A 19,092-nucleotide genomic window follows, 5' to 3' on the forward strand; every position below is an offset into this window, starting at 1 on the left:
CTGGGATAGATGGGACTACAGGTGCACACCACCACACCCGGGCAAAAGGGTCATTTTTATTCTGCTTTCGGAGTTGCTTCTTCGGTTGCTGTTTCTCAGAATAATCTGTATGCCAAAGAGGCCTATTTTGGGTGGCATATTCTGGTCTCCTACTGTGATCTGGCCTCCCAGATAGTCACCAGCAGACTCCTGCAGAAAGGAAAAGTTGGGACAGGCAGGTAGGAGGGCCAGGCACCACTGACAAGGGGAAGTGCAGAGAGAGGCCTGAGCCCAGGAAGGACTAGAGTCCGGCAGCTGAGCTGCAACACAGCCCATGGGTCAAAAGTAGGAGCTCAGAACCAAGGTAAGCCGAAAAGCATACCTGTTGGTTTCTTAGACGTCTACACCGGCCCATAGCCTTTGTCTCCGCCACCATGGCCTGAGGTGGCAGCTGCCCTTTCATGACTTCTTCCTCTTTAGTTTGAATTTACTGGAATAAAAACGTGTGTGTAAAAGTAAAGGGAGCTTAAAAAGTGATTTCCTCCTCTAAGCTCTTGTTCCTCCAGAGAGGGTGACTCAGAGCCCCAAATCCTTGCCTTTGCTTGTTTCTGCCTAAGTTTGAGGCACAACAGCCGGCTGGCCCTGCTCCTCTCAGTTTCTTGATTGGCCCAGGTCCAGTCACAGAGACAGCAGCTGGCCAATTTCCTTTCCTTCCTCTTCTGCAGCCAGCTCTGCATGGAGCCCAAAGGGTCTGCGGCAAGGTTCATTCTCACCCTCGTCTCCACCAGCCCACCCTCATCTCCCACCAAGGTCCCCAGAACAAAGGCAGACTTCTTCACATCCTCCGACTTTCTAAACTAGTTTCTCCAACTTTTCTGGCAGAGGAGTTTTTGTCTGTTGAAGAAGCAAGTCCTGACCTGCAGAGTCCTTTCTCTGCAGGGCTGGGATAAAACAAAATCAGATGGGTCATGAAAGAGTTGCTGAAATCGCTGAACCAGAGCTGACTATGGGGGCTGGGGTGCTGGGGAAATCCTCCCCATCCTCTGTGGTCTGCCTTACGGCCTCTTATCTTTCAAGCTGTCTTCTCCTTCTATGATTCAGCTCCAGGTTGTACAGAAAACAATTCTTTCTTTACTTGGAGGAGCTCAGTGCTGCTTTGCTTCACTGCCATCAGGTGAGAGAGCAGAATTTAATCAGTGGATGACATAAAAGACTGAGTAAGAAGACAGTTATCTTTGACTTACTCTGTGAACAAGATTTCATTTTAAATTTAACAGTGCTCAGAAACCTTATCCTTATCACTAGTACTGCCAGAAGCATTTGAACCAGAGCAACTCCATCTTGAATAGGAGCTGGGTAAAATGAGGCTGAGACCTACTGGGCTGCATTCCCAGATGGTTAAGGCATTCTAAGTCACAGAACGAGACAGGAGGTCTGCACAAGATATAGGTCATAAAGACCCTGCAGATAAAACAGGTTTCGGTAAAGAAGCCGGCTCTAACCCACCAAAACCAAGATGGCCACGAGAGTGACATCTGGTCGTCCTCACTGTTATACTCCCACCAGCACCATGACAGTTTACAAATGCCATGGCAACATCAGGAAGTTACCCTATTTGGTCTAAAAAAGGGAGGCATGAATAACCCACCCCTTGTTTAGCATAAATAAATAAACATAAAAATGGGCAACCAGTAGCCCTCGGGGGCTGCTCTGTCTAAGGAGTAGCCGTTCTGTTATTCCTTTACCTTCTTTTTTTGTTTGTTTTTTTTTTGTTTTTTTTTTTTTTGAGGTGGAGTCTCGCTCTGTCGCCCAGGTTGGAGTACACTGGCGCGATCTTGGCTCACTGCAAGATCCATCCACCTCCTGGGTTCACACCATTCTCCTGCCTCAGCCTCCTGAGTAGCTGGGACTACAGGCGCCCGCCACCATGCCTGGCTAATTTTTTGTATTTTTAGTAGAGACGGGGTTTCACCGTGTTAGCCAGGATGGTCTCCATCTCCTGACCTCGTGATCCACCTGCCTCCCAAAGTGCTGGGATTACAGGAGTGAGCCACCATGCCTGGCCCCTACTTTCTTAATAAACTTGCTTTCACTTTACTGACTCGCCCTGAATTCTTTCTTGCGCGAGATCCAAGAACCCTCTCTTGGGGTCTGGATCGGGACCCCTTTCCTATAACGGTACTGTACTGTGGTACTAATTACTGCAGAACAAATCCGTGTGTGATTTTATATTGCCTGGCCTTTGTCTGTCCTTACTTCATGGCTCCCTGTGGGTCTTAAAAACCCAGTAAGATTCTAAGTGCCTCTGATGAGATCTCATTCCATTGCTTGGATCCCCTGGGTCAGTAATGCCCTGGGCTGAGCTAGGCACTCTGGCTGGTCAGTATTTCTTGATTTCCCTATAGCACAGCTAAAAAGCACACTCAGCCTCAAAGCAGGAAGAAAAGGGGACATTTTTCTGCTGAATCTGAAAATATCTTTTGTAAACAGTCTGCTCATATCTCCAGAGCAGGACAGAAACCAGATGCAGGCAGAGATAGCTAAACATGTCTTATCTGGATAGAAAATTGAGCTTAAGATAATAAATATCTTGGAATATGATAAAACCCAGAGGCCCCTTCCTGGTCCATGATTAATTGAAGAAAAAAAAAGCCTAGTAATACGTGACCTTATCAGAGAGATTTATGTTCAGTTGAAAGCCAAGTTATTTTGAGCTGAGCAAAATGAGGATTCAAATTACAGGAGCGCAGAGTAAACTTTTGGCATATTAGCGGACATCTTGGTAAGTTTCTCAGGACAGTGTTTTTCAGAGATGACAGGATTAAAGAGAAACCTTTTATGACATTGTACTGGAAATGGACTCTCCACAGTGCCCAGCACATATAGGTGCTCAATAATTTTTTTTTTTTTTTTTTTTTTTAGATGGAGTTTTGCTCTTGTCGCCCAGGCTGGAGTGCAATGGCACGATCTCGGCTCACTGCAACCTCTGCCTCCTGGGTTCAAGCGATTCTCCTGCCTCAGCCTCCCGAGTAGCTTGGATTACAGGCACGTGCCACCACGCCCAGCTAATTTTTTTGTATTTTTAGTAGAGATGGCGTTTCACCATATTGGCCAGGATGGTCTTGATCTCCTGACCTCGTGATCTGCCCGCCTTGGCCTCCCAAAGTGCTGGCATTACAGGTGTAAGCCACTGTGCCTGGCCTAATTTTTGTATTTTTAGTAGAGACGGGGTTTCACTATGTTGGCCAGGCTAGTCTTGAACTCCTGACCTCAAGTGATCTGCCTGCCTCGGCCTTCCAAAGTGCTGAGATTACAGGGGTGAGCCACCACACCCGGCCAAATTTTTTTTTTTGAGATGGAGTCTCGCTCTGTCGCCCACGTTGTAGTGCACTGGTGCGATCTCCACTCACTGCAACCTCCAGCTCCTGGGTTCAAGTGATTCTCCTGCCTCAGCCTCCCAAGTAGCTGGGATTATAGGCACCTGCCACCACGCCCAGCTAATTTTTGTATTTTTCGTAGAGACGTGGTTTCACCATGTTGGCCAGGCTGGTCTCAAATTCCTGACCTCAAGTGATCTGCCTACCTTGGCCTCCCAAAGTGCTGGGATTACAGGCATGAGCCACCTCACCTGGCCAATAAATATTTTATTTAAAAAATTTACTTATTAAGCAAACACTTATATTGCACTTAGACAATGCAGTCACTATTCTACGTGTGTTACAACTATTTACTCATGTTCCTGTTGCTTCTGGCCTTGAGGCTGAGCTTGCCATTTAGCTGGGAGTAATCAAGAAATACCAGGCCAGAAGCGGTGGCTCACACCTGTAATCCCAGCACTTAGGGAGGCCAAGGCGGGAGGATTGCTTTGAGGCCAGGAGTTCAAGCCAAGTCTGAGCAACATAGTGAGACCCCCATGTCAACAAAATAAAATTTAAAAATTAGCTGGTCATGGTGGCACGTGCCTGTAATCTCAGCTAGTGGGGAGGCTGAGGCGGGAGGACCCCTTGAACCCAGGAGGTCAAGACTGCAGTGAGCCGTGATCCTGCCACTATACTCCAAAGTGGGCGATAGAGAAAGGCCCTGTCAAGAAAGAAAAAAGAAAGAAAAGGAAAGAAAAGGAAAGGAAAGGAAGAAAGGAAAGGAAAGGAAGAAAGAAAGGAAAGAAAAAAAAGAAAGCTAGCAGCTGGGAAGGGAAGGGGAGGGGAAGCGAGGGGAGGGGAGGGGAGGGGAGGGGAGGGGAGGAAAAGGAAAGGAAAGAAGGAAAGAAGGAAGGAAGGAGGAGAGATAGGAAGGAAGGAAAAGAAGGAAAAGAAAGAAACCAAGTAGCCGGGAAGGGAAGGGAAGGGGAGGGGAGTGGAGGGGAGGGGAGGAGAGGGGAGGGGGAAGGAAGGAAGGAAAAGAGAGAGAGAGAGAAAGAAAAAGAGAAAGGAGAGGGAAGAGGGGAGAGGGGAGAAACCGAGCAGCCAGCGTGCCTAGCACAGCCCTGGACACCATTGACCCCTATGTTTGGGTTGAGATCTGTCCCTGAGTTAACTTCAACCCCAGGGCTGTCAGGCACTGCTGCTATCAATACCTCATTTGTCCCTCACAACAACTCTGGGGTGGCCTCCTTTCTATGACTTTCTATGAGCCCGCCTGTCCCCCTGCTATTACAATGAAGCAGATGAAACTGCTGATCTTTGTTACTGATGTTTTGGCTGTTTTCAATTTCCAAAAAATGACAATTAAATGCAATTCAACCTAATATTGCCTAAATTTTAAAAGAGGAAATAGGTTCTCACAGTGTTTAAGTAACCAGCCCCCGTGCCTCAGAGGTAGTCAACAGCAGTATCTGGATTCAAAATCCAGTTTGCCTCCTTCTGAACTTCTTAACATGCTACTTTTAGCCACGGATTAAGAACCCGGGAACCAGTTGCTAGGGTTTGAGTATCAGCTCATCTACGTAGCAGCCATGTACCTTGGAAATAATAATAATGCAGACCAGGTGCAGTGGCTCACAGCCTGTAATCTCAACACTTTGGGAAGCCCAGGCGGGTGGATCCCTTGAGCCCAGGAGTTGGAGACCAGCCTGGGCAACACAGTGAGTGAGACCCCGCCACCAGGTATGGCGGCCGCGCACCTGTAGTCAGGAGAATCACTTGAGCCCAGGAGTTGGAGGTTGCACTGAGCTGTGATCACACCACTGCACTCCAGCCTGGGTGACAGAGCGAGATAATAATAATAATGATGATGATGATGCAGTATTTTCCAATTTACAGGGTTGCCCTGAGGATTGAATAAGGAAATCTAAGTACAGAGATTTAGAACAGAGCCCTGCACTGTGTAAGCACTCTATAGATGTGAGCTATTATTATCATCTTCAGGTTCCTTTGGTAGTTTTTTTCTGCTTGAATAAAATATAGCAACACACACACACACCTCCTTTGTCCACTAATGTAATCCCATAAAACGGAGAAACTCAGCAGTGAGGACATTCTGATTCCAAGCAGGAAGGAGATGAACGATGAACCTCAGGCTGAGCGCCTCACGGTTTCCTCATGTCACCGGGGCTGGGGGTGCAGTTTGGCTTCACACTGCTAGGTCTTTTCTTGTTTTTAAGGGGGCAGGGGCTGTCACCTCTGAGGAGTCAGCTGTGATTGATCCTTCTCCACACCCAGCCAAGCACCCCCCAGACAGGGGAGCGCCCGCAGTAGGGCGGTAGGCAAGGGCAGTTCTAGCCAACAGTCCCTAAATCATCCCAGCGGGGGCGCGGGAAATTCCACCGAGGTGAAAGCCTAGGGGGCCGGGTGAAGAAATCCCCATACCCGGGCCCAGAAACCGCTCCAGGTGGAAGTAACTTGTCTAAAGAGAACAGGGTGTAACGGGGGTCATTTCAGGGCTGTTCTTTTAAATCGGTGAGCACGGTCTGTCTACTTTCCCTCAGTTGTCTAGAGACCACACGCCACCCCCGCCCCGGGGGAGTCGCCCGGTCGAGGGTCCCGGGACAGGCGCAGCACTCGCAGCATCCGGACCTGGTCTGCCTCGCGCCGGGAGCGGCCTCTTTAAGAGCGGCCGCGGCCAACGTGCTCCGTGACGTCAGAGCAGGAAGTGTTTGAGGAAGTCGCGCCGCGCTGCCCGCGTTAAGATTCCCGCATTTTAATGTTTTCAGGGGGGTGTCATAGCCCCGGGTTTGGCCGCCCCAGCCCCGCCTTCCCCGCCCCGGGGAGCCCGCCCCCTGCCCCGCGTCCCTGCCGACAGGTGAGTCCCCCTCGTGGGTGCGGCCCGGGTGCCACCTGCAGGCCCCGCCGCCCCGCTGCCTGCAAGGCCCGGAAGACCCCTCTGTGCCGCTGGGAAGTCGCAGCTTGCGGACTGGGGAGCGTTTCACTTGTGCGGGTTGGAGTTCGGGAAGCCGGGAGAAACAGCTCTCCCTGGGGTGGCTTCTTGGGGGTGGGTGGCTTTGAGGGGAACCTGCGATTTATGGGAACATTGTAAAGAAACACGTGACCTCGGCGATGCTCAGAAGTAGGTTCTGCCCCTGCCACCTCGGGCAGAAGGCGGGCAGGCCCGGGCGCCCCTGGTGGAGTCAGCTGGGGATCCCCTCGCTAGGGCAAGGGCGTGGGCATCGCCTCCCTCGGTGACTTTCTTCCTTGCCTGATGCCACAGCAACCGGATGGGGGAGGGTGAGAGGGACAAAAGTTTGCCACAAAGTTTGGACCAACCAAACACATTGGTTTCTTTACAAAATAAAAAACCAGTTGTATTTTTCTTCTCTCCCATTCAAGAGCAGTGGTATCTCTTGCCTTCTCCATCCCTTTGAGCTCCATTTTTTTCTTAATCCTAACCTTTTTTCCCCATCCCAAATTGCTTATAGAGTTAGCACGACATCAGTATGAGCTGGTCACCTTCCCTGACAACGCAGACATGTGGGGCCTGGGAAATGAAAGAGCGCCTTGGGACAGGGGGATTTGGAAATGTCATCCGATGGCACAATCAGGTAGGCCCTCTGTGCAGCTTGGGGAGGGGCGGGGAGCCAGGCCCCCTCCTCACTGCCTCCACTTTCTCTGATCCTGCTGGGCCAAGGGCTCACCTTTGGCTTTGGTCATCTTGGGACAGTGAATAGGGGGACTGGGAAGAGGGCTTCAGGACTTCTGAGCTGACTCCAGGTTAGTGGTCTCCATGCTTTATTGACTATGTCACCTAAATAAATAGTAAAATAAAGTTAAGCTCTTAGTCTCTATTATATATATATGGTAACAGTAGAATATCATGTACTAATATATACTGATATTATATGTTATAAAACATATAGAAATAGGAAAATTTAAAGGATGAGACTAAATAAATAATTTAAAATATTTTAATTCCTTGAGGCCAGTAGTTCAAGAGCAGCCTGGGCAACATAGCAAGACCTCGTCTCTACAAAAAAGGTTTAAAAATTAGGCAGCCAGCTGGGCGTGGTGGCTTATACCTGTAATCTCAGCACTTTGGGAGGCTGAGGCAGGCGGATCACGCAGTCAGGAGATGGAGACCATCCTGGCTAACACTGTGAAACCCCATCTCTACTAAAAATACAAAGAATTAGCCAGGCTTGGTGGCACGTGCCTGTAGTCCCCAGCTACTTGGGAGGCTGAGGCAGGAGAATCGCTTGAACCCATGAGGCGGAGGTTGCAGTGAGCCAAGATTGCGCTACTGCACTCCAGCCTGGGTAACAGAGTGAGACTCCGTCTCAAAAAAAAAAAAAAAAAAAAAACCTTAGGCAGCCTTGGTGCGTACCTGTAGTCCCACTACATTGGAGGCTGATGTGGGAGGATTGCTTGTCCAGGAGTTTGAGGCTGTAGTGAGCTATGATTGTGCCACTGCACTCTAGCCTAGGTGACAGAGTGAGACCTTGTTTCAAAACCATTTTTTAAAAATTATTTTAAATGTCGGGTGCAGTGGCTTACACCTGTAATCCCAGCACTTTGGGAGGCCGAGGCAGGAGGATCACTTGAGGTCAGGAGTTTGAGACCAGCCTGGCCAACATGGTGAAACCTCATCTCTACTAAAAATACAAAATTAGCTGGTGTGGTGGTGCATGCCTGTAACTTCAGCTACTCAGGAGGCTGAGGCAGGAGAATCGCTTGAACCCAGGAGGCAGAGGTTGCAGTGAGCCGAGATAGTGTCACTGCATTCCAGCCTGGGTGACAGAATGAGACCCTGTCTCAAAAAATATATATATATATATATATTTAAAATATTTGCTAATTATGATGTCTTCCCAGTATTGCTTGCGATACTGCACGGCAAAAAATAAGCAGATCCACATGAAAGTGAGAATTCATTTAGAATGATGATGAAAATCCATATTTCAAATAATTAACATTTTTTTAAATTTTGTAGAGATGGGGTCTTGCTATGTTGCCCAGGCTTGTCTCAAACTCTCATCCTCAAGCAGTCTTCCCGTCTTTGCCTCCCAAAATGTTTGGATTACAGGCCTGAGCCATGGGACCTGGCCTCAGCTGAGGTTTTTTTTTTATTTTTTGTAGTGATGGTGGTCTCACAATGTTGTCCAGGCTCGTCTAGAACTCTTGGCCTCAAGTGATCTTCCTGCCTTGGCCTCTCAAAGTGCTGGGATTACAGCCATGAGTCATTGAACCTGGCCTGTTTTTATTTTTAATTGACACATAATAATTGTACATATTTATGGGGTACAGTGTGATATTTTGATACATAATGTGTAATGATCAAATCGGGGTAATTGGCGTGTTCATCACTTGAAACACGTATCCTTTTTGTTGGAAACAGTCAAAATTCTTTCTTCTGGCTATTTTGAAATATACAATATTTTTTTTTTTCCGGAGACAGAGTCTCGCACTGTTGCCCAGGCTGGAGTGCAGTGGTGTGATCTTGGCTCACTGCAACCTCCGCCTCTTGAGTTCAAGTGATTCTCCTGCCTCAGCCTCCTGAGTACCTGGAATTACAGGTGTGCACCACCATGCCAGCTAATTTTTGTATTTTTAGTAGAAATGGGGTTTCACCATGTAGGCCATGCCGGTCTCAAACTCCTGACCTCAGGTGATCTGCCCACCTCAGCCACCCAAAGTGCTTGGATTACAAGCGTGAGCCACTACGTCCGGCCTGAAATATACAATAAAGTTTTATTCACTGTAGTCACCCTGTTGTTCTTTAGAATACTGTAACTTATTCCACCTAACCGTAATTTTGTACCCATTAACCAGTCTCTCCCTATTTCCCTCCACAACTCCCCCCACCCCCACCACCCTTTCCTGCCTCTGGTGACCACTATTCTACTTTCTACTTCTGCGAGATTAGTTTGTTGTTGTTGTTGTTGTTGTTTTGAGACGGAGTTTTGCTCTTGTCGCCCAGGCTGGAGTGCAGTGGCGCGATCTTGGCTCACTGCAACCTCTGCCTCCCAGGTTCAAGTGATTCTCCTGCCCCAGCCTCCCGAGTTGCTGAGATTACAGGTGCCTGCCACCACACCTGGCTAATTTTTGTATTTTTAATAGAGACGGGGTTTCACCATGTTGGCCAGGCTGGTCTCGAACTCCTGAACTTAGGTGATCCCCGCCGGCGCGCCCCCCCCCCCCCCCGCCATCCCAGCCTCCCAAAGTGCTGGGATTACAGGTGGGAACTACCGAGCCTGGACGAGATCAGTTTTTTTTTGTTTGTTTGTTTTGTTTTTTGAGATGGATTCTTGCTCTGTTGCCCAAGCTGGAGTGCAGTGGCACAATCTTGGCTCGCTGCAACTGGTGTCTCCCAGGTTCAAGCGATTCTCCAGCCTCAGCCTCCCAAGTAGCTGGGATTATAGCCGTGCACCACCACGCCTGGCTAATTTTTGTATTTTTAGTAGAGACAGGGTTTTACCATGTTGGCCAGTCTGGTCTCAAACTCCTGACTTCAGGCGATCTGCCTGCCTCGGCCTCCCAAAGTACTGGGATTACAGGCATGAGCCACTGTGCCTGGCATTTTTTTTTTTTTAATTTTTAATTTCTTTGGAGATAGGGTCTCAATCTGTCATCCAGGCTGAGTGCAGTGGTGCCATCATGGCTCACTGTAGCCTTGACCTCCTGGGCTCAAATGATCCTTCTGCCTCGGCCTCCTGAGTAGCTGGGACTACAGGTGTGCGTTGCCATGCCCGGCTAATTTTTGATTTTTTGTAGATAGGAGGTCTGTCTGTTGCCCAGGCTGGTCTCGAATTCCTGGACACAAGTGATCCTCCCACCTCAGCCTCTCAAAGTGCTGGGATTACAGGTGTCAGCCAACAGACTTTACCCAACTGAGATCAGTTTTTTATTAGCTCCCACGGATGAGTGAGAACATGTGGTATTTATCTCCCTGGGCCTGGCTTAATTCCCTTAATGTAATGCCCTCCAAGCTCATCCATGTTGCCACAGATGGCAGGATTTCATTCTTTTTTATGGCTGAATAAGAGTACATTGTGTCTGTGTACCACATTTTCTTTGTTCATTTGTTCATTGATGGACATTTAGGTTGATTACATATTTTGGCTATTGTGAATAGTGCTGCAGTAAACGTGAGGGTGCCCATATCTCTTTGATAAACTGATTTCCTTTCCTTTGGATAGATACCCAGTAGTGGGATTGCTGGATCATATGGTAGTTCTATTTATAGTTTTTCTTTTTTTTTTGAGACGGAGTCTTGCTCTGTCAACCAGGCTGGAGTGCAGTGGCATGATCTCAGCTCACTGCAACCTCCGCCTCCCGGGATCAAGCAGTTCTCCTGCTTCAGCCTCCAAGTAGCTGGGATTACAGGTACATGCCACCATACCCGGCTAATTTTTATGTTTTCAGCAGAGACGGGGTTTTACCATGTTGGTCAGGATGGTCTCGAATTCCTGACCTCAGGTGATCCGCCTGCCTCAGCCTCCCAACCTGCTGAAATTACAGGTGTGAGCCACTGCGCTAGCCTTGTTTGTAGTTTCTCAAGGAACCTCCATACTATTTTCCATAATGGCTGTGCTAATTTACATTCCCACCAATAGTGTATAGAGTTCCGCTTTCTCCACATCCTTGCCTTCATTTGTTACTTTTTGTCTTTCTGATAATAGCCATTTTAACTGTGGTGAGATGATATCTCATTGTGGTTTTGATTTGCATTTGTCTGATGATTAGTGATATTGAACATTTTATCATATACTTGTTGGCCATCTGTATGTCTGAGAAATTCCTGTTCAAATCATTTGCCCATTTGAAAAATTGGATTATTTATTTTTTTGCTGTTGAATTGTTTGAGTTCCTTGCATATTCTTGATATTAATCCCTTGTTGGATGGATAGTTTGCAAATAATTTCTCCCATTCCATAAGTTGTCTCCATAGGTTCCATAGGTTTATTCTGTTTTTTCTTTTGCTGTGCAGAAGCTTTTTAGTTTGATGTAATCTCATTTGTCTACTTTTGCCTCTGTTAACTGTACTTTTGAGGTCTTATCCATAAAATCTTTTCCCAGACCAATGCCCTGAAGCACTTCCCGTATGTTTTCTTGTTTTTTTTTTTTTGAGACAGTCTCACTCTCAGCTGAGACAGGTGCGATCTCGGGTCACTGCAGCCTCTATCTCCTGGGTTCAAGCGATTCTCCTGCCTCAGCCTCCTGAGTAGCTGGGATTACAGGCAGCGCCATCACACCCGGCTAATTTTTTTTTTTTTTTTTTTTTTTTGAGACGGGGTCTCGCTCTGTCGCCCAAGCTGGAGTGCAGTGGTGTGATCTCGGGTCACTGCAAGCTCCGCCTCCCGGGTTCATGCCATTCTCCTGCCTCAGCCTCCCAAGTAGCTGGGACTGCTGGCGCCTGCCACCACCCCCGACTAATTTTTTTTTTGTATTTTTAGTAGAGATGGGGTTTCACTGTGTTAGCCAGGACGGTCTCAATCTCCTGACCTTGTGATCCGCCTGCTCGGCCTCCCAAAGTGCTGGGATTACAGGCGTGAGCCACCGCACCCGGCCACGTGTGGCTAATTTTTTTTTTTTTTTTTTTTGCAACGGAGTCACGCTCTGTTGCCCAGGCTGGAGTGCAGTGGCTTGATCTCGGCTCACTGCAACCTCTGCCTCCTGTGTTCAAGCGATTCTCCTGTCTCAGCTTCCCAAGTAGCTGGGATTACAGGCACCTGCCACCATGCCTGGCTAGTTTTTATATTTTTAGTAGACACGGGGTTTCACCATGCTGGCCAGGCTGTTCTCAAGCTCTTGACCTCAAGTGATCTGCCCACCTTGGCCTCCCAAAGTGTTGGGATTACAGGCATGAGTCACTAACAGGCGCCTGGCCTGTTATTTATTTTTAAAAAGCCAAAAGCCAGCTTCCTCCTCCTGCCGGCTGAACCCCACACAGTCTGTCTGCACCTGCCTCTCCATCATTCCTCCCCTTGGCTGCCTCTGTTTTGAGCGCTGAGCCCTCTTGCCGGACAGGCCTCCCCCTCCTCCACATTCCTCCAGGACCAACTCTAGGCCATCTCCTCCTCATATGCGTCTGGGATGGCTTTGTTCTGTGGCAACTGGTTCTCCCGGTGAGTTCCTCTGGGCTGGTTCCTGTGCCGCCCTTCCTGTCTGCGTGTGGAGTAAGTCTTGTCAGGACCCTGCATTCCTGGTCAGCCAGGGCTGGGTCTGGCCTTTGGAGTTCCTTCAGTTCTCCTGTAGCAAGTGCCTGACGTTGTATATGTGCTAGGTGCCCCAAATCATCCACTCTGCCAGTCCACAAATATTTATCGAATGTCTATTATGTGTACATTGGTAATTAAAGCAGACCTTTGGAGAAGGGAAGGAGCCATTAGTCAACTAATTATAAATGTAAGCTCCTAAGTATGGTAAAGTGTGAGTTGGGAGAAGGACCCAGTGCACTGAGACCTTCCGTTGGGGTGGGATCAGTCAGTGTCAGAGGAGGTTCCCCAAGGAAGTGACACTTGAACTGAGGCCCTAGTAGAAGTCAGCTTGACAGAGAAGGTGGGAGGAGAGTTCCAGGCCAAGGGAGAGGCTCCTGAGGGGCCTCTGTGGAGGGCAGGTGTGGCAAGTGGGCAAGACTGAAGGCCAGCGTGGCCGGAAGGGAGGATGGGGCACAAGTGCCTGGGTGGCTGAGGGTGGACGGTGCAAGTCAGATCCTGTGGTGTTTTTTGGGCAGTTTCAGCCGAGGAGGTTTTGTTTTGATGGAGGAGCAGTGGAACGATGTTAGAGGGAGGCGCTGTGCCCATGGGGACAGATTGGGAGGGCCCAAGCAGTGGGCAGCGTGCTGGGAAAAAATCAGCTCTCGGAAGAAATGCCTTGATCCATAGTGTGCAGCAGTTCTCATGGAGTAGCTACTCCCACCAGGGCTGACTTCAAGCCACCAGTAGTTTAATAGCCCGCTCCGGCCTGATTCCTGAGTAGTTAACAACCAGCTCTCAGTGACTGCTACTACAGTGTCACTGGCTCCGTCCCAGTGATGCAGGCAGACCAGGTCTGAATGTTTTGGAGTCGTCTAGGTGAGAGATGGGGAGAGGTGGGCAGACTTAAGAGATATTTAGCCTGGTGCAGTGGCTCATGCCTGTAATCCCAGCACTTTGGGAGCAGAGGCAGGTGGATCACCTGAGGTTGGGAGTTCGAGACCAGCCTGACCAACGTGGAGAAACCCCGTCTCTACTAAAAATACAAAATTAGCCAGGCATGGTGGCGCATGCCTGTAATACCAACTACTCAGGAGGCTGAGGCAGGAGAATTACTTGAACCCAGGAGGTGGAGGTTGCAGTGAGTCGAGATCGTGCTACTGCACTCCAGCCTGGGCAACAAGAGCGAAACTCTGTCTGAGAAAAAAAAAAAGAGAGAGAGAGATTTAAGGGGTGGAATTAACAGCGCTTAGTGGTGGAGTAGAGGTGGAGGGGAGCAGGAGGAGTGGAGTGCCTGCAGGTCCTCAATGATGCCTACCCGTGAGCCCGGCCCAGGCCAGGAAGCTCTCTACCTTCCTTCCCCGTGGGTTCTCCCCAAGTTTGGGAAATCTCTAGGGCTGCTTTGGGTGCTGAGGAGAAGTCTTTGATCATTGTCCAAGTTCAGAAGATGAGCGTGTATGTTCTCTGTTGGGAACCCCTCTGTTCACAGCCTCTTAAAAGAAGCAGCTGGGCTATGGTGGTGTTGGTTCCTTGACTCTGATGGTTTTACTCCACGTAACAACAGTGTGCACTTTCCTGACACTCCATGCACTGCATCTTGTCTGCAGAAGAAGGAATGTTGTAGTTATCACAATAGAAGTTACATGAAAAAGCCCCTAAGCATGGGTATCCTCAGTCAGAGAAGTGGCCTGATAATCAGAGGCATCATTTACTGAGAACCTGCTATGCGCCAGCATCAAACTAGGTATTTACGTGCTTTCTCTCCAGCCCTCACAACTCTGAAAGGAAGTACTGTTGTCTTTGTTCCCATTTTATAGTTGAGGAGACTGAAGCACAGTCTCTGTGACTCACCCACAGACCTGAGCTCGCAAGCAAAGAGGCTAGGATTGGAACCTGCGTCTGTTCGGAACCCAACCTCATGCTTTTTCCATTGTGCCTGTGGCTTCTCTGTGGTGAGGACTCAGGGGGAGGCCTTGGTGTTCCTTAGGCTCTCATTGTTCACCACAGTCTAAACCTTTTTGAAGCAGGAAGGGGAAAACACTTCTTTATTGATTTTTTGTTGTTTGTTTTTTGAGACAGGGTCTCCCTCTGTCACCCAGACTGGAGTGCAGTGGCTCGATCAGGGCTCACTGTAGCCTTGAACTCCCAGGCTCAAGGAGTCCTCCCACTTCAGCCTCCTGAGTAGCTGGGACTACAGGCGTGAGACACCACGCCTGGCTAATTTTTTTATTTTTGTAGAGATGAGGTCTTTCTATGTTGCCCAGGCTGGTCTGGAACTCCTGGGCTCAAGCAGTCCTCCTGCCTTGGCCTCCCAAAGTGCTGGGATTTCAGGCATGAGCCACTGTGCTTGGTTGAAAAACACTTCTTTGGAGGACAAAACACTTATAAGTCTTCCTTGTTAGACAGAGAACCCCACATTGAGTGTTTCCCAGGGAGGGAGGGCAGTGAACAAGCGAGCCCCACCACAACCTGCTTCCCCTGTTCTTGTGGTTCTCCTGCCACGCGGGCCTCACCATTCCACATTGTGTCGGGACTCCCTAAGACCTCCAGCCCAGGGGTCAGCACAAACCACTTCCCAGTACCGTTTAGATAGGCTGATATTTTCAATGAGACCTTTGTTAAATACAAAGGAAGAGGAGGAGGAGATAACCGAGTGCTCCCACCTGGCAGCATGTTTTGGGAGTGGGGGCGGGAAACACGATACTCAGTCACACAGACCTGGGTTCAGATCCTGGCTCTGTCAGCGTCTTGGCTGTGGGTCCCCACTTTTTGCATGGATTATGGGGATTCTCCAATACTGATCTCCTCAGTGCTGGGTCCCCAACATGGCTGGGCAGGATGTGGGTCAGCTACCTTCTGGAAGCCACCCAGGGTACCTTGTGATATCATCATGTTCTGTGTACACTTGGCTGTGAGGAGGGCCAGGAAGCGCTGCCTGGGGCCCTGCGGGATGCTCGTTGGGGTGGAGGAGGCAGTGTGTGTACTGGCTGTTAGAAGGCAGAGTATTAACGATCCCTTCTATGAAGCAGCACGGACCTGTACTTGTCCCTTTATGGGACAAGGCAAAGCTTTCCACAGCTTATCTGTGTGCTTGGAAGCCTTAAAGCCTCTGCTCCGTTCAGTCACTTCTCTAGGGATTTATAGAGCCTGGGCCCGAGCTCTGTCAGGGATACCAGGAAAAAAGGGTCCCTGCCCTTCGTGTGCTTACTCTCTGATCACAGTGATCCAGGGAGCATTCAGAAATGCATTAAGTGAGTCTAAATCCAAGCACCGAACTGCATGGATAACAGTGGCTGCCATTTTTCCAGGGCATCATGTGGCATCTGAGCTGGGTTCCCTGTCCGCATGATCTCTCCCGAACGCTGGGGAAGGGAGGCTTCTTGGGGTGAATGGAGCTTTAGCAGGATCTGGAAAGGAGGTACACTTTCGAGGGCCTGGCAAGAAGACAGAAGCCGACTCAGGTGGGCAGAGCAGCATCTCCACAGGGCCAGAAAAGGAAGTGAGGCTGCGGTCGTTTATTCCCGGCTCCCTGTGGTCGGATGCTGTGTTTCATTTTAGCTGACATCCCTGGAGTGGATGGAGCCATCCCCATCTTATGGATGAGGACCCAGATGCTTGTACCATGGGCTTCTATCGCACCTTTACCAGGCGGTGGGGGAGGGAGTTACACCTGGACCTGCTTGTCTCCTGAGCCCGAGTGCCTGGCTTCTGTGGGTGAGGCGGCAGGCCACTGTGCCCCTTGGGGGTCTGCACTGTAGGGAGTAGGGTGAAGAAGTCATGGCCCTCTTAGCGTAGACCAGGCGATGCTGGGGCCCAGGGTCTGTCCAGTTACCTGCTGAGCCAGGGGTGAAACTGCAGCTGGATCCCGGACCTTTTTGGCTCCCAGCCCTGGGTCCTCCTGCCCAGTCTCTCTGGTCCCAGCCCTGCACCTCCTTTCTGAAGCATTCATTTCAGGGGGTGGGGTCTGAGAAGGAGGAGGAGGTTTTTACTAATTGCCCCCATGTCCACAGTGGCCTGGTTGGATGCTTGCCATGATAACGGGACACTGGGCTTTCTGCGCTAAGGGTCTAAACATGGCTCTTGGCCTCTGTGAGTTTCCCCTGAGTCGCTGGAAGAGGCAAACTTGAGGAAGCTGGGCCCCTTTTGTTTCTCCTGTGACTGGGTCTTCAGCTCGCATCTGCCAGGCACCTTTTGGTCTGAGGATGTGCTCCCCCTCTGCCTTTTTTACACCTTATGACACACATGCTTATATATAAGTTTTATGTTTACATGCATCAAAGGCAAGGAATTGCAAACTCTGAGGACCTTCATAATCACTACATTCAATCTGGACATACAGGGGACCCTTTCTCCGTTTTCTCAAAATACAGACCAGTTTTTTGTTGTTTTGTGTGTGTTTATTTTTTGAGACAGGGTCTCACTCCAGTAGTCCACGCTGGAGTGCAGCAGCATGATCACAGCTCAACGCAGGTCTCGCTCTATTGCCCAGCCTTGACTTCCGAGGGTCAGGAGATTCTCCCACCTCAGCCTCCCAAGTAGCTGGGACTACAGGCATCTACTACTATGCCTGGCTAGTTTTTAAAAATATTTTTAGTAGAGACAGAGTCTTGCCATATTGCCCAGGCTGGTCTCAAACCCCCGGGCTCTAGCGATCTACCTGCCTTGGTCTCCCAAAGTGCTGGGATTATAGGTGTGAGCCACCATGCCCAGCCACAAAGCAGTTTTAAGTTTTGTCCTTCACGAGGAGTTCATATACCAGAAGTTGGGTACTGAGATGGCGCAGGCCTAGTCTGGGTTTCCACAGAACTAAGCTAAGACTCAGTAGATTCCAGGAAAAATAAAGTAAGCCATCCTTCTTACCTTACATGTGTTTGAGTTCCACTGCTAGTGAAGAACAAACTCCCTGGGGTTTCAGAACCGGTGATCGTAGCCTGCTTCTGTTTTAATTGAATTTTGCTTTCTAGAGCAGGTATGTTTTTAGTAACAAAGTCATTCTGTTTGCATTTCTGTTTCAAATGAAACATTACTCATGGAAAAACTGGGAATATTTCGGAATACTTCCTAGAGGCAGATGAAGGCCACTGTGTTAGGAAAAGTTTAAGTATGTCTGTATCTACGCAGACCTTCCTAGGCCCAGGGAGTTAGGATTTCGCCTCAACTCTAGGGCGAAGCTGAGCTGTCTGTGAGTAGAAAGTTAGTTTTGGTATCTATGCCCAGTTATTTCAAGACTTGTTCAGTGTTCACATTGCTGAGTTCAGTCTTTTTAGTTTGCATTTGGATATTTAAGACCAATATCAAGTCTTCAGTATCAGAATCTCCTCCTGATTCTGGGTTGGGCCAAGTGACAGCTGTGTATCAGGTCCAGTGTTTGTGTTGGGCAAAAGACTGCAATTATCCAATTTGTAGCTAGACAGATTACCTAAAATCACTTAATAAACTAAGTCATCTAATCTATTTTTTGGATCTGATGATCTGTCCTGTTTCATTTATGATAGGTAGAATAATCCCCCCCAACCCCACCAAGAAATCTGGATCCTAATCCCTGAACCTATGACTGGGTGGGGCAGCATGGCAAAGGGAAATTAAGGTTGCAGATGAAATTAAGTTTTCTAATCAGCTGACCTTAGAGATTGGCCTGGCTTCCCTGGGGGTCCCAGTGTAATCCCAAGGGTTCTTAAACGTGGGAGAAGGAGGCAGCAGAGCCAGGGTCAGCCGATGCATGTGAGGAAGATGGCGGGACATGGCTGACACACGGATGGGCTAAGGGGCTACGAGCTGAAGAAAGTGGCGCTTCTAGAAGATGCAGAAGGAAAAGTAGGGAAACAGACTCTCCCCTAGAGCCTCTGGATGGAGCATAGCCCCACCAACATCTTAGCTCAGGGAGACCCACATCAGGCTTCAGCAGATAGAACTGCAAGGAAATAAAGTGTGTTATTTTAAGCCACCAAGTTTGTGGTAATTTATTACGGCAGCAATAGAAAACAAGTGCCCTCTTCTGTGTATTGAAGTTACGTTGCTGCAGATTTTTCAGTATCTTGGTTTAGTCTCAGTCATTCTAAGGTAACGAACCATAAGTTACAGTCTCTTTGGCTAAACCATTGCTTGGAATAGTGTCCATGGAAATGTTGCAGGGTGGATGGAGGTGGATAGATGCTCTTGGCAATGGCACCTCACGCTGCAGCGGGGCCATCGGTCTCTGTTTGTGGAACCCTGCGTTCCCCACGTCTGAGCTCCTCTGCAAACTCCGCCTAACTGGAGGCAAGTGTCTGTAGCAGTGTCTCAGTCGGCTCAGTGCTGCTATCACAGAGTAGCTGAGAATGGGTAATTTATAATGATTTTATTTCTCATAGTCCTAGAGGCTATGAAGTCCAAGGTCAAGGCATCATCATAGGGTGAAGGCGAAAGGGCAAGAGACAAAAGGGACCAAACTTGTCCTTTTATAACCATCAGTCCCACCTGGGATGCAGAGCCATTGTGGCCGAATTGCCCCTTAATACTGAGGTGATGTCCTGGCGCAGTGGCTCACACCTGTAATCCCAGCACTTTGGGAG

At 49.1% G+C, this 19,092-nt stretch overlaps 1 protein-coding gene and 1 long non-coding RNA gene across 19 annotated transcripts in view, besides 4 other annotated features; one reads left to right on the top strand and one right to left on the bottom strand.

Moving 5' to 3' along the window:
• IKBKB-DT (IKBKB divergent transcript) overlaps positions 1–5,997 on the bottom strand; it is a 37,577-nt gene extending 31,580 nt beyond the window's left edge. For 2 of the 4 annotated variants that reach the window (NR_185845.2, NR_185843.2), the window contains exons 1-2: positions 5,398–5,997; positions 362–1,143 (exon numbers count right to left, since the gene is read on the bottom strand). This is a non-coding gene — a long non-coding RNA (IKBKB divergent transcript). The remainder of the gene's footprint in view (positions 1–361; positions 1,144–5,397) is intronic. The other 2 variants (NR_185844.2, NR_125823.3) reach the window with 2 other exon arrangements.
• Positions 657–886: an enhancer, noted in NCBI's record as "active region_27303". NCBI's record gives its function as "activates an Ori minimal core promoter by ATAC-STARR-seq in GM12878 lymphoblastoid cells {active_cell/tissue: GM12878}" and the evidence as "EXISTENCE:reporter gene assay evidence [ECO:0000049][PMID:35858748]".
• Positions 897–946: an enhancer, noted in NCBI's record as "active region_27304". NCBI's record gives its function as "activates an Ori minimal core promoter by ATAC-STARR-seq in GM12878 lymphoblastoid cells {active_cell/tissue: GM12878}" and the evidence as "EXISTENCE:reporter gene assay evidence [ECO:0000049][PMID:35858748]".
• Positions 5,044–5,543: an enhancer, noted in NCBI's record as "H3K4me1 hESC enhancer chr8:42127815-42128314 (GRCh37/hg19 assembly coordinates)". NCBI's record gives its function as "activates a minimal SCP1, AML or CMV promoter by ChIP-STARR-seq in naive H9 embryonic stem cells {active_cell/tissue: H9 hESC(naive)}" and the evidence as "EXISTENCE:reporter gene assay evidence [ECO:0000049][PMID:30033119]".
• Positions 6,040–6,329: a silencer, noted in NCBI's record as "silent region_19154". NCBI's record gives its function as "represses an Ori minimal core promoter by ATAC-STARR-seq in GM12878 lymphoblastoid cells {active_cell/tissue: GM12878}" and the evidence as "EXISTENCE:reporter gene assay evidence [ECO:0000049][PMID:35858748]".
• IKBKB (inhibitor of nuclear factor kappa B kinase subunit beta) overlaps positions 6,049–19,092 on the top strand; it is a 61,159-nt gene continuing 48,115 nt past the window's right edge. For 5 of the 15 annotated variants that reach the window (NR_033818.2, NR_033819.2, NR_040009.2 and 2 more), the window contains exons 1-2: positions 6,049–6,216; positions 6,830–6,952. Coding sequence is in view for 11 of the 15 variants with exons in the window: in NM_001556.3 (NP_001547.1) it covers positions 6,848–6,952 (105 nt within the window). In the remaining 4 variants the exon portion in view is untranslated. Of the gene's footprint in view, positions 6,217–6,304; positions 6,481–6,829; positions 6,953–19,092 lie in introns of those variants that run through there. The other 10 variants (XM_011544517.3, XM_047421758.1, XM_047421764.1 and 7 more) reach the window with 6 other exon arrangements.

This window comes from Homo sapiens, chromosome 8 (assembly GCF_000001405.40).
Source record: "Homo sapiens chromosome 8, GRCh38.p14 Primary Assembly".
NCBI classification, from domain to species: domain Eukaryota; kingdom Metazoa; phylum Chordata; class Mammalia; order Primates; family Hominidae; genus Homo; species Homo sapiens.